General features: G+C 37.3%; 1 long non-coding RNA gene across 1 annotated transcript in view; it reads left to right on the forward strand.

Annotated features, from left to right (window-relative positions):
* Positions 1 to 15,493, forward strand: part of LINC02046 (long intergenic non-protein coding RNA 2046) — a 119,066-nt gene that overhangs the window by 59,088 nt on the left and 44,485 nt on the right. The gene's annotated exons all lie outside the window — the stretch shown is intronic.

The raw sequence follows: 15,493 nt of genomic DNA on the forward strand, positions 1-15,493 counted from the left end.
GCCTATTAGTTCAAGACCAGCCTAGGCAACATAGCAAAACCCAGTCTCTACCAAAAAAATTCAAAGAATTAGCCAGGTGTGGTGGTGCACACCTGTAGTCCCAGCTATTTGGGAGGCTGGGAAGCTCCCTTGAGTCTGGGAGGTGGAGGTTGCAGCTGAGATCCTGCCACTGCGTCCAGCCTCGGTGACAAAGACTCTGTCAAAAGAAAGAAAGAAAAAAAAAAGAATGAGTACGAAATAAAGACTTTTCAGCCATACAGACTCAGATATTTCACAAGACTGGGTATTACTGGAAGGGATGGGCATGGGGATGGGGATAGAACCTAAGCTAGACTGAAAAGAAAATAATCAACCAAGATAGCAAGTAAATGAACCCAAGAAGTAGGCTGTGAGAAAAGAAGGCTAGTCAAGGAAATCATTACATAAAATAAAACAAATAACAGTAAATCTTTATTTAGAATTTACCATATCCAATTGTGTAACCACTTTAAATGATTTGATTCATTTAATCTTTCTACCACCCTAAGAGGCAGGTATTATTATTCTCATTTATCAAATGCGAAAACTGAAGGGCAGAGGTCAAGCAACTTATTCAAAGTCACGCAGCTAGTAGATGTTGAAGAATAGACATGAACCAAGGCAGCTTAGCTCTATAGCCTTTGCCCTTAGCCAACCTACTCTATTACATCTCAATAAGTATAAAGCATAGGAGAACAATAATAAATAATTATGATAAGATATCTTACAGCAATTTCAAATACAGCTTCAGAAAATAAAAACACAGTAACCCAGTGGGCAAGAGAAAAGATGGGAAAAAGAGGGAAGGGAAATAAAAAATGTTTTTTATCTTGAGTAGTAATATACAGATATGGATTAACTTTGACTGTATTTTTTAAAGTATAATGTTACTTATATTTTAATATTTAATAATAAAATTGGTTATAGTTATATGTTTTGTGGAAAACCAATGAAAATATTAATAGAACACCTGATTACTGTGTTTCTTTTTTCTGTTTCTTTCTTTTATTCATTTTTCTTTCTTCTTTTCTTTTTTCCCTTTTTGTTTCTTTTTTCTTTACCTTCTTTATTATTGCTGTTGGCTATCCAGTAACTTAACTCTTTTTCTATGTCTGAGGGATTCTTAGCTATATGTGTTTTGTAGAAGTGGAGCTCTCCTTCTACCATAGGAGCTAAAATGATCCGATTGCTGCTTTATGCCCCTCAGCAGCTGGTGCAAAGGAACTGGGCTTAGGCATGCCAAACACATCCCATTTAGGTCTTTGAATCTGTAACAGTCTCCACAAAGAAGCAGAAATGGCAAGAACAAGATCCAATTCCCAGGACAGCAATGACAGTGATGTAAGTAGCAGCATTCAGAATTGAAACCTGTTGACTATAAAGATATAAACTGTAGCATCAATGCTCAACTAAATGGTGGTGATGGTGTGCTAAAGGGAATGCATCTGAGACATGGTTTAGATTTTGTCCTGCCTCTTTTTCTATCTTAGCACTCTATCCTTCTCAACAATTTTGGGAGCTTATCAATGTTTCTTTCATTAATGCCTTTTCTGCTCAGATTATTAGAGTTTGTTTCTGCTGTTTGCAAATAAGGACCCTAATTAGTGCAATGTCTAAAACTGTAGAGAAAAAAATGAAAATAATAATTAAAAAAAGATCTAAAAGAAGGTGAAAAAAAACAAAGATGGGGAACAATAATAAAAAAACACAAGATAATATAGCAGAAATATGTCCAAGTACATCAGTAACAATAAATGTGACTGGATTAAACCTAGCCTTTCCTTAAAAGTCTAAGACTTTTTTTTAAAAGGCCGAGACGCATAGAATTTTTCAAAAGTTAACTTTATGCTATTTTTATTTACAAGAGTCTGACCAAAAAAAAAAAAACATATACAATTTGAATGTAAAGAAATGAAAACATATATTCCAGAAAAAATATAATTTAAAGTTCAGCATTCTTAGTTGCTTTCTAAAAGCAATAAACTTATTTTTCATTCCTTTTCACCTCTGCCTACATTTTTCCTACAACATTGAATCATTATTCCCATTATTTATATCTGATAATGAGGCTCCTTGCTTTCTTATCTGGGATGGGAACATTTTTATTCGTAAACTTTCCTGACACCTCAATTAAGTTACAATGTTAATCCCTATGTACAATAAAACATATCATATTAAGCAAAGAAAATCCTAAAAATGTGAGACTTAGTTGAACTCAGAATCCTCTCATCTTAACCTTCCACTGTGGAGTTCAGACAAAAGAGAGTTGACATTATATTAACAGAGCATAGGAAGTAGACTATGGACCCTAAAACCAGAGAGACCTGGTTTTAAATCCAAGCTTTGCCACTGACTAGGTATGTGACATTGAATAAAGCTTTTGATTTAGCTGAGCCTAAGTTTCCTATGCACAAAATGGATATGAACATCTCTATTTGTAGGGATTTTATAAAGATTTAATTAGATAATTAATCAAAACAGTTGTTCTCAACCTAATTGGAATTACCTTGGGAACTTTAGCAAGTAATGTTGGCTGGGTCCCTTCCCTAGAGATTCTGGATGTAATTGATCTGGAATATAACCTGGGCTTTCAACTTTTCAAAAGCTACGCATATTATTGTAATGTTAAGCTAAAGTTGAGAAACACTGATCTAAACATATAGTCTAGTTTATTGCATAGTATATAGAAAGCATGACAAAATTGTTACTAGAAAGATGATGAGGAGGATAATGATGATGATGATGATGATGAAAAAGGTGATAAATTTCAGCTATAAATTTCTGGCATTGAAGTTGGCCTAGTGTGATTATTCTTCCACAGAACTCAAGAGAAAAAGAAGTGATCTGGTTTGAATCTGTGTCCCCACCCAAATCTCAAGTTCAATTATAATCCCCTGTATTGGAATTTAGGCCTGGTGAGAGGTGATTAGATCATGGGGGTGAATCCTTCATGAATGGTTGAGCACCATCCTTTTGGTGCTGTTCTCCTGATAGAGTTCTTATGGGATCTGGTTGTTTACATGTGTAGCACCTTCCCCTTCTCTTTCTTCCTACTGTTCCAGCTATTTGAAGATGCCTGCTCTGGCTTTGCCTTCTGCCATGATTAAAAGCTCCCGAGGCCTCCCCAAAAGCAGATGCTGCTATGCTTCCCATACAGCCTGTGGAATCATGAATCAATTAAACCTCTTTACTTATAGACTACCCAGTTTCATGTATTTTTATATAACAATGTGAGAATGGACTAATATAAGAAGTCACTTAGTATGGAGATTGCCAGAAACTTCATAGTAATACATGTGTACTATTTTAATAGCTTTTAATTTCCAATCCTCTACAACCTATGAAATAAATATTACAATGTTTTTCAGAGTGAAAAACACTCATAGAGTTTAATTGTTTTACAAAAGATGATAGCTTAGGGAGCTAAACCAGAATGCAAATTTTAATCTATTTATCCCAAATTCAGTACTATTTCTATTATGTCACAGTTGTCCACAGTGGACAAAAGTAAACAGTTCAGCTTCTTCATAAACAGAATTTAGAAAAAATTTTCTAAGTCTGGAAAATACTCCAGAAATCACATGATGACTAGAGCAAAGGGTAAAATTGCTTCAGCCACTAAAGATCTCAATGGGATATGAGTAGTTTGAAGCTAAAGACTATTTTTTATTTGTCATTATATCCCTAGTGACTTGCATAGTACTTGGCACTTAATAGGAGCTCAATAAATGTTTGTTGAGTGGATACGCCAAGGCTCTAAAATAAACCATTTTTAGCAATTTAATGAAAGTTTTAAAAAAAGATGTTAATATCTGAAAATAAAAACTCTAAATTCTTACTTTCAGTGAAAATTAATGACCATAAGGATTTATTCCAAGTATATCAATCCAGGAAAGTACTTGGACCAGAAAACAGAAGTTACCATGCACCCTCTGTCTGTACATATATACACATACATATGCATATATATATATAAACTAATTCAAAGAATATTATTTAATATATACAGATGTTACCTATATACTGATTTTTAAATTGCTTTACAAATTGTGTATTTTATCAGCAGAATAAGTCTATGATGCTTTCCTTCAGTTTCAACTAAGATTGATTGAAATTGGATACGTTAAGTATTTTTTTAACTTCGAATACCATAAGATTACCTAAGATTTTGCTTACAAATAGAAAGTAAAAATCATTACTACTGCTAACAAAGAGGAAGTATAAAAATGTGAGATGGCTAAGATTAGAAAAAAACTTTTAACGAAAATGTAAGTAAGAAACATTATTCAGAAAATAATTTTCTATCTAATATAAATTATTAATAATGGTTCTTTGGCATATTATTGAGTCACCATAATATTAAATGTATAGTACAAGAGCTTACTGTGTAAATATTAAAATGTATAACGTATATCACAATAATTATATATCATTGAGCTAGTGTCATTCTTTTATTTATCTTTTAGCTAGTGTTACTGATACAAAGAATTTAGGTGATGGCCATGTGTGTTACTTTAAGATAGAAGAATGTACACATCATTTCCTGGTGAATAGTAAAATAAGAATTCAGATAGTTTTGAAATCATATTTCAGAATATAGTAATACTGTTTTCTGAGGGGCATGGGCAGGGCAGGGGGTATCATGTTCTATCCTCCACTTAGAGACAGGCATTTAGTAGTAACATGGAAAGTTCACATGATATCCCACAATTTAAAAGGTCACGATTTCAAAATCTCTGGCCCTTAGGGTACTCAGATAAGGCTTCATGTAAAAGCAGGATTAAGCTTGACTTGAAGGCAGTAAATAGTTTAATTGGGAAATGAAAATGGGTTGGAAATTCCAAGCAGTAGAAAAACATGCTCAAAAGTAACTCTGTTATAAGTTATAGAGAGAAACAACAAAGAGGTCTATTTAAGTAAAGAGTGGAAGATAGGCTTGGAAGTTTTAGAACCAGAAAGAGGATTTTGAACAGAAACTTCAAAAGATTCAATTTTATCCCAATTGCTAATTAACAACCTGTATCACAGGGGATAGACTAAGTTATGAAGAGATTTAAAACAAAAATGTTAGTTCCTTAAAATAAAAAGTTTTTGGCAGGTTCTTGCTACATGTTCATCTCAGATTGGTGAGGGGCCTGCTTCATGTTGTCCTCAATCAGGGATGCAGCCTGAACCATCAAAAACGTTTCCACCATCTAAAATGTCACCATGGAAGGGGGACAGGGAAGAGATATGCATACACAGGCTCTGCTGTGGTTTGAATGTTTTTGTTTCTCCCTAAATTGATGTTGAAACTTAATCCTCAATATGACAGCATTAAGAGGTGAAGCCTTTTGGGAGGTGATTAGGCCACGGCAGCTCCATCTTCATGAAGGGATCAGGGCTTGCAGGGGCTAGTCCATTCCCCTATTTTGCCATTCTGCCTTGCCCCATGTGAGGACACAAGGTTCACCCTTCCACCACATAAAGATATAGCAAGAAGTTCCTCCTCAGATATCAGACTTGCTGGTGCCTTGATCTTGGACTTTCCAGCCTCCAGAACTGTTTGAAAATAATTTCTGTTATTTATAAACTAACCAGTCTATGTTATATTGTTATAGTAACACCAAAGGTCTAAGGCTTTTCAAGGCTACTATCTAGAAGTGATATCTATTCTACTCACATTTCATTGACTAAAGCAAATTACATTATTATATCTAATTTCACAGAAGTAGGGAAAAGTAACCATACCATGTACCCAGAGGAAGGAGAACTGGAAATACTGATGGAGAGCACTAATGATCACTTAGAATGTCTGATGCTTTTGGTCAGGTACATATTATGTAATTAAAAATTTGTTCTGGAAAAACACTTGGTTGTAGAATGCAAAATAAAAGAAAGGGACACATCTGGAGATAGGGAAGCCTATTATTACAACTACCTAAGTGTAACAATAAAAATCCAAACTGGGGAAAAGAAAGGAAGCGCCACAGTGAGAGATATTATGGAGGAATAAATGTGAAAAATCTGTTAATTGACAGGCATAAAGGAAAATAAAATTTTGAAGGTGATTAAGATATTTCAAGCCTAGATAAAAGATGTTTCTTTTTAAAATAAAGTTCAAGGAAGCCGCTTTGGGGAAAAGATGGTTTAGTTTCATACGTAAGTACTGTCAGATGGAAGAATAAGAACGAAGGAAGATTGGGCTGCTGGAGAATTTGAGGTGTAATGTGGTCTCATTGGAAGTGTCAGCTGATCCTGTGTGAAGTTCTGAATACCAGATGACTTTTCAGAGTGGTCCTGCTTTAGGGTGAGAAGGCTGGCCCTTTAAACCTGTGAGGGGGATGCCCATGGTCAAAGTGGCTCTCCTGGCTGAGACAATTCCTGAAGAGGGCTAACTGTTGGTGCACATCACAGCATCTGCTGCAATTACAGGTGCCTGCATTTAACATATGTGAAGATGAGAGAAAACTTCAGAAAAAGATGTTCAGAATACCTAAAGGAAATATAAATATTTTGTGAGGTAAACTATTTTCTTAGGATTGGTATTCCCATAGGTTAACCTTTCACTGATCTGAGCTGACCCTATGTATAATTCACAAGCATGATATTCCTTGAGGAAAAATCATAGACCATGGCCTCCATGTCAAGCAGCTTGAAAAGTACATGGGGATTCAAGCTATCAGACCTCTTGTTATCTTACTAGCTCATTCAGGTTTCACCTCTGAGATTTTAATCAAGCACCTGTGCTATGTGGCGAATAGCAAGCTGGTCATAGCAAAATTTGGAGTAGACAGTTTCATTTCTTGTGTGATTTAATTAGTATCTGGCATTTCACATTAATTGGAAGTTCAGACAATGAGGCATTGTTTAAAGCAGTGAGAAATCTTTGGTATAATTATTCAAATATTAGGTGTACTTATCATTGCACAAAGGTGGAGATCAAAAACACAAAGGCAAGAATTGTTTAAAGATTAAGGGAGAAGAAGTACAGCCTGGTGGCTATATTTCATAATAATGTATTGCATATTTAAAGTTTGCTAAGAGAGTAGATCTTAAGTATTTTCACCACACACAAAAAAGATAACTCTGTGAAATGATAGATTTATTAATTAGCTTGATTGCGCTAACAATTTCTCAATGCATATTTATATCAAAACACATTACACACCTTAAATATATTTTTTATTTTTCAATTATACCTCAATAAAGCTGGAAAATACAATAAAGAGAGAAGGATGTGTTAGGTAATTGCCATATTAGGAGACATAAATCTAAACAAAAAAGAAGAAAAGAGGGGGGTGGAGCCAAGATGGCCAAATAGGAACAGTTCCAGTCTGCAGCTCCCAGCATGTGCGACGCAGAAGACGGGTGATTTCTGCATTTCCAACTGAGGTACCAGGTTCATCTCACTGGGGAGTGCCAGACGGTGCAGGACAGTGGGTGCAGCGCACCGTGCATGAGCCAAAGCAGGGCGAGGCATCGCCTCACCCAGGAAGCACAAGGGGTCAGGGAATTTCCTTTCCTAGTCAAAGAAAGGGGTGACAGACGGCACCTGGAAAATCAGGTCACTCCCACCCTAATACTGCGCTCTTCCAACGGGCTTAACAAATGGCACACCAGGAGATTATATCCCGCACATGGCTCGGAGGGTCCTACGCCCAGGGAGCCTCGCTCATTGCTAGCACAGCAGTCTGAGATCAAACTGCAAGGCGGCAGCGAGGCTGCGGGAGGGGTGCCCGCCATTGCCCAGGCTTGAGCAGGTAAACAAAGCGGCCAGGAAGCTCCAACTGGGTGGAGCCCACCACAGCTCAAGGAGGCCTGCCTGCCTCTGTAGGCTCCACCTCTGGGGGCAGGGCACAGACAAACAAAAGACAGCAATAACCTCTGCAGACTTAAATGTCCCTGTCTGACAGCTTTGAGGAGAGTTGTGGTTCTCCCAGCATGCAGCTTGAGATCTGAGAATGGGCAGACTGCCTCCTCAAGTGGGTCCCTGACCCCCAAGTCGCCTAACTGGGAGGCACCCCCCATTAGGGGTGGACTGACACCTCACACGGCCAGGTACTCCTCTGAGACAAAACTTCCAGAGGAACAATCAGGCAGCAGCATTTGCAGTTCACCAGTATCTGCTGTTCTGCAGCCACTGCTGCTGATACCCAGGCAAACAGGGTCTGGATTGGACCTCCAGTAAACTCCAACAGACCTGCAGCTGAGGGTCCTGACCGTTAGAAGGAAAACTAACAAACAGAAAGGACATCCACAGCAAAAACCCATCTGTATGTCACCATCATCAAAGACCAAAGGTAGATAAAACCACCAAGATGGGGAAAAAACAGAGCAGAAAAACCAGAAACTCTAAAATTCAGAGCACCTCTCCTCCTCCAAAGGAATGCAGCTCCTCACCAGCAACGGAACAAAGCTGGATGGAGAATGACTTTGACGAGTTGAGAGAGGAAGGCTTCAGAAGATCAAACTACTCCGAGCTAAAGGAGGAAGTTCGAACCAATGGCAAGGAAGTTAAAAACTCTGAAAAAAAATTAGACAAAGGGATAACTAGAATAACCAATGCAGAGAAGTCCTTAAAGGACCTGATGGAGCTGAAAACCACGGCACGAGAACTACGTGACAAATGCACAAGCCTCAATAACTGATGCGATCAACTGGAAGAAAGGGTATCAGCGATGGAAGATGAAATGAATTAAATGAAGCATGAAGAGAAGTTTAGAGAAAAAAGAATAAAAAGAAACAAACAAAGCCTCCAAGAAATATGGGATTATGTGAAAAGACTAAATCTACATCTAATTGATGTACCTGAAAGTGACGGGGAGAATGGAACCAAGTTGGAAAACACTCTGCAGGATATTATCCAGGAGAACTTCCCCAATCTAGCAAGACAGGCCAACATTCAAATTCAGGAAATACAGAGAATGCCACAAAGATACTCCTCGAGAAGAGCAACTCCAAGACACATAATTGTCAGATTCACCAAAGTTGAAATGAAGGAAAAAATGTTAAGGGCACCAGAGAGAAAGGTCGGGTTACCCACAAAGGGAAGCCCATCAGACTAACAGCTGATCTCTTGGCAGAAACTCTACAAGCCAGAAGAGAGTGGGGGCCAATATTCAAGATTCTTAAAGAAAAGAATTTTCAACCCAGAATTTCATATCCAGCCAAACTAAGCTTCATAAGTGAAGGAGAAGTGAAATCCTTTACAGACAAGCAAATGCTGAGAGATTTTGTCACCACCAGGCCTGCCCTAAAAGAGCTCCTGAAGGAAACACTAAACATGGAAAGGAACAACTGGTACCAGCCACTGCAAAAACATGCCAAAATGTAAAGACCATCAAGACTAGGAAGAAACTGCATCAACTAACTAGCAAAATAACCAGCTAACATCATAATGACAGGATCAAATTCACACATAACAATACTAACCTTAAATGTAAATGGGCTAAATGCTCCAATTAAATGGCACAGACCGGCAAATTGGATAAAGAGTCAAGACCCATCAGTGTGCTGTATTCAGGAAACCCATCTCACATGCAGAGACACACATAGGCTCAAAATAAAGGGATGGAGGAAGATCTACCAAGCAAATGGAAAACAAAAAAAGGCAGAGGTTGCAATCCTAGTCTCGGATAAAACAGACTTTAAACCAACAAAGATCAAAAGAGACAAAGAAGGCCATTATATAATGGTAAAGAGATCAATTCAACAAGAAGAGCTAACTATCCTAAATATATATGCACCCAATACAGGAGCACCCAGATTCATAAAGCAAGTCCTTAGTGACCTACAAAGAGACTTAGACTCCCACACAATAATAATGGGATACTTTAACACCCCACTGTCAACATTAGATCAACGAGACAGAAAGTTAACAAGGATATCCAGGAATTGAACTCAGCTCTGCACCAAGCAGACCTAATAGACATTTACAGAACTCTCCACCCCAAATCAACAGAATACACATTCTTCTCAGCACCACATCGCACTTACTCCAAAATTGACCATGTAGTTGCAAGTAAAGCACTCCTCAGCAAATGTAAAAGAACAATAATTATAACAAACTGTCTCTCAGACCACAGTGCAATCAAACTAGAACTCAGGATTAAGAAACTCACTCAAAACCACTCAACTACATGGAAACTGAACAACCTGCTCCTGAATGACTACTGGGTACATGACGAAATGAAGGCAGAAATAAAGATGTTCTTTGAAACCAACGAGAACAAACACGCAACATACCAGAATCTCTGGGACACATTCAAAGCAGTGTGTAGACGGAAATTTATAGCACTAAATGCCCACAAGAGAAAGCAGGAAAGATCCAAAATTGACACCCTAACATCACAATTAAAAGAACTAGAGAAGCAAGAGCAAACACATTCAAAAGCTAGCAGAAGGCAAGAAATAACTAAGATCAGAGCAGAACTGAAGGAAATAGAGACACAAAAAACCCTTCAAAAAATTAATGAATCCAGGAGCTGGTTTTTTGAAAAGATCAACAAAATTGATAGACCACTAGCAAGACTAATAAAGAAGAAAAGAGAGAAGAATCAAATAGACGTGCAATAAAAAATGACAAAGGGGATATCATCACTGATCCCACAGAAATACAAACTACCATCAGAGAATACTATAAACACCTCTACACAAATAAACTAGAAAATCTAGAAGAAATGGATAAATTCCTCGACACATGCACTCTCCCAAGACTAAACCAGGAAGAAGTTGAATCTCTGAATAGATCAATAACAGGCTCTGAAATTGAGGCAATAATTAATAGCTTACCAACCAAAAAAAGTCCAGGACCAGATGGATTCACAGCCAAATTCTACCAGAGTTACAAGGAGGAGCTGGTACTATTCCTTCTGAAACTATTCCAATCAATAGAAAAAGAGGGAATCCTCCCTAACTCATTTTATGAGGCCAGCATCACCCTGATACCACAGCCTGGCAGAGACACAACAAAAAAAGAGAATTTTAGACCAATATCCTTGATGAACATTGATGCAAAAATCCTCAATAAAATACTGGCAAACCGAATCCAGCAACACATCAAAAAGCTTATCCACCATGATCAAGTGGGCTTCATCCCTGGGATGCAAGGCTGGTTCAACATACGAAAATCAATAAACGTAATCCAGCATATAAACAGAACCAAAGACAAAAACCACATGATTATCTCAATAGATGCAGAAAAGGCCTTTGACAAAGTTCAACAACCCTTCATGCTAAAAACTCTCAATAAATTAGGTATTGATTGGACGTATCTCAAAATAATAAGAACTATCTATGACAAACCCACAGCCAATATCATATTGAATGGACAAAAACTGGAAGCATTCCCTTTGAAAACTGGCACAAGACAGGGATGCCCTCTCTCACCACTCCTATTCAATATAGTGTTGGAAGTTCTGGCCAGGGCAATCAGGCAGGAGAGGGAAATAAAGGGCATTCGATTAGGAAAAGAGGAAGTCAAATTGTCCCTGTTTGTAGATGACATGATTGTATATTTAGAAAACCCCATCGTCTCAGCCCAAAATCTCCTTAAGCTGATAAGCAACTTCAGCAATGTCTCAGGATACAAAATCAATGTACAAAAATCACAAGCATTCATATACACCAGTAACAGACAAACAGAGAGCCAAATCATGAATGAACTCCCATTCACAGTTGCTTCAAAGAGAATAAAATACTTAGGAATCCAGCTTACAAGGGATGTGAAGGACCTCTTCAAGGAGAACTACAAACCACTGCTCAATGAAATAAAAGAGGATACAAACAAATGGAAGAACATTCCATGCTCATGAGTAGGAAGAATCAGTATCGCGAAAATGGCCATACTGCCCAGGGTAATTTATAGATTCAATGCCATCCCCATCAAGCTACCAATGACTTTCTTCACAGAATTGGAAAAAACTACTTTAAAGTTCATATGGAATCAAAAAAGAGCCCACATAGCCAAGTCAATCCTAAGCCAAAAGAACAAAGCTGGAGGCATCAAGCTACCTGACTTCAAACTATACTACAAGGCTACAGTAACCAAAACAGCATGGTACTGGTACCAAAACAGAGATATAGACCAGTGGAACAGAACAGAGCCCTCAGAAATAATGCCGCATATCTACAACTATCTGATCTTTGACAAACCTGACAAAAACAAGCAATGGGGAAAGGATTCCCTATTTAATAAATGGTGCTGGGAAAACTGGCTAGCCATATGTAGAAAGCTGAAACTGGATCCCTTCCTTACACCTTATATAAGAATTAATTCAAGATGGATTAAAGACTTACATGTTAGACCTAAAACCATAAAAACCCTAGAAGAAAACCTAGGCAATACCATTCAGGACATAGGCATGGGCAAGGACTTCATGTCTAAAGCACCAAAAGCAATGGCAACAAAAGCCAAAATTGACAAATGGGATCTAATTAAACTAAAGAGCTTCTGCACAGCAAAAGAAACTACCATCAGAGTCAACAGGCAACCTGCAAAATGGGAGAAAATTTTCGCAACCTACTCATCTGACAAAGGGCTAATATCCAGAATCTACAATGAACTCAAATTTACAAGATAAAAACGACCCCATCAAAAAGTGGGCGAAGGATATGAACAGACACTTCTCAAAAGAAGACATTTATGCAGCCAAAAAACATGAAAAAACGCTCATCATCACTGGCCATCAGAGAAATGCAAATCAAAACCACAATGAGATACCATCTCACACCAGTTAGAATGGAGACCATTAAAAAGTCAGGAAACAACAGGTGCTGGAGAGGATGTGGAGAAATAGGAACACTTTTACACTGTTGGTGGCACTGTAAACTAGTTCAACCATTGTGGAAGTCAGTGTGGCGATTCCTCAGGGATCTAGAACTAGAAATACCTTTTGACCCAGCCATCCCATTACTGGGTATATACCCAAAGGATTATAAATCATGCTGCTATAAAGACACATGCACACGTATGTTTATTGTGGCACTATTCACAATAGCAAAGTCTTGGAACCAACCCAAATGTCCAACAATGATAGACTGGATTAAGAAAATGTGGCACATATACACCATGGAATACTATGCAGCCATAAAAAATGATGGGTTCATGTCCTTTGTAAGGACATGGATGAAGCTGGAAATCATCATTCTCAGCAAACTATTGCAAGGACAAAAAACCAAACACCGCATGTTCTCACTCATAGGTGGGAATTGAACAATGAGAACACATGGACACAGGAAGGGGAACATCACATACCAGGGCCTGTTGTGGGGTGGGGGAGGGGGGAGGGATAGCATTAGGAGATATACCTAATGCTAAATGACGAGTTAATGGGTGCAGCACACCAACATGGCACATGTATACATATGTAACAAAGCTACACGTTGTGCATATGTACCCTAAAACTTAAAGTATAATAATAAAAAAAGAATAAAAATGTTATTCCAAATAATGTCAAACCAGCTTGTATTATTTGTTTCTATTTCTATAAAATTTTGTTTATATGCATGTATCAAAGTAAGAAAAACATATATGAATATCTCCTGGTATACAGGGTTATCCATGATGTATGAAGTGAAGAAAAGCAAAAGCAAGCTGAAAGGAAATGTGTATATTATTCTACTATATGAAAATAAAATAACCAATCAACCAACCCAAAACTCCATTTTTTTTTTACTTATATGCCTTGTATTCATTTGTGTGAGCGCAGAAGAGTAAACTTGGTAATCTTATGAAAATGGGGGTGAAAAGGATGTGATAATTGGAATTTTAATCACATTGTTGTTTTATGTTATTTCACCAGTTACAACACAGAAGTATATATTTTCTAATTTGAAAAAATCCTATAAAGAAATTCATGTAGATTTAAAAAAGATAGAATGATGCATGAAGCCTATTCTGAAAGCTGAATTTTAGAACAACTTTCTGAAAGCAAACCGGACAGCCATTTAGAAGAACCAAACACCTTGCAGGAGTTTGACATCCGGAAAGAAACAAGCATATATGGTACAGGAATAAATAAGGTTCTTTTGTCTACAGCAAGCAAGTCAGTCTTGCTCTAAGGTAGCAATCTGAGCTAATCAGCCTGTCTATTCATATGGGGCCATTCAGAATAGATAGATTTGTTTTACCAAAAGTGGTGAAATGAAAAGAGGAAATAAAGATTGATTTTATGAATTGCCAGGGTTAGTTTTGTTAGAAAGAATTTGTTTTAGATGTTGCCTTATCAAGTTATTTGGTTCAGTAAGTGTTGCTCCATAAGAGTTGCTTAAAAATTTTTGAAACAGTGTAAGGTTATTACAAAAATATAAAGCAGAAGCTTTTTCAGATTGGGAGCTATGACAGCAGAGGAAAATCATAATTGGAAGCAGAGAAAGGAAAGATACTGGATTAACTGATGATTTACAGTAGACTAAATGACCCTAGAAGTCACTATTAAAATTCCACAAGTGGATCCCATTCTGGAAGTGGGAAAACTGAGCATTATAAAGGTGTCTGAATAATGAATTATAGCAAAATTGTAAAATAGAATAAATTAAAATCAAATAGGACACATACATAAAGATGCCACTAAATTTCTCTCAGTGTTCAGAAAATTTAAACTTTGTAATAATATTTTAAAATGTCCCCAAATGTTAGCTTTTATAGCTTACAGATTAATTGAAAGTTTTCTTTCAAAAATGAATTGTGCTTAATCATGTCCCTTAGAGCTTTCTGCATCAAAAATATCTACTAAATTCAGTGCTATCTTATTTATCTGGCTCCTACATAGCCAGGCCTCTAGTTTTTCTGGATGGATTTAGTGTACAAGTAAACCTATTTTCTTAAAAATGAGGCCAATACATAAGAAGAAAATTCTATTAGGGAAAAGCACCTATAATCTTAGCTGAATGATCTAAAAAAAATTACATCCACTTTTCATGTAATGAAAACCACAGGACTTCATACATTCTTTCTTTGTAGAGGACAACTTGGTGTATCTGAAAGCATGTTCTGTCTGTACAATATATAAAAACAACTCAGAACAGCCTGGGCAACTCAGCCAAGGTGAGAAGAGATCCCACTGTGCAAACTTAACTCCTGTGCAGACAATTCCAAGATTATTTATTGCACCTTGGTGTTAAAGGGAATGAAAGCGACTAATTGTGCATAATCATTTTCAAATGTCTTCCACATCAAATATATCCACTAAATTCAGCACTACATGATTTTTTCTCACTACCAACCTACCCAAGTGTCTAGATTATGTGGATTGATTGTGGGTGTAACCTTCTGAGTCCCGCACTGGGCCAAACACTATGCTAGGCACCTTCACACACAACATATAATTCAGTAGATAGCACAGTCCTCCCCCATAGGCTTCCGTCTCCCAATTTCATAGATGAACAAGCTGAAGGCAACAAATATTAAGCAACTTGTCCAAGGTCATACAATTATTTAGTGACTAGATTAGGTTTTGAGTCTTAGTAAGTGTGCTTCCAATGCCCAGATTAT

This window comes from Homo sapiens, chromosome 3, assembly GCF_000001405.40.
Source record: "Homo sapiens chromosome 3, GRCh38.p14 Primary Assembly".
NCBI lineage: Eukaryota > Metazoa > Chordata > Mammalia > Primates > Hominidae > Homo > Homo sapiens.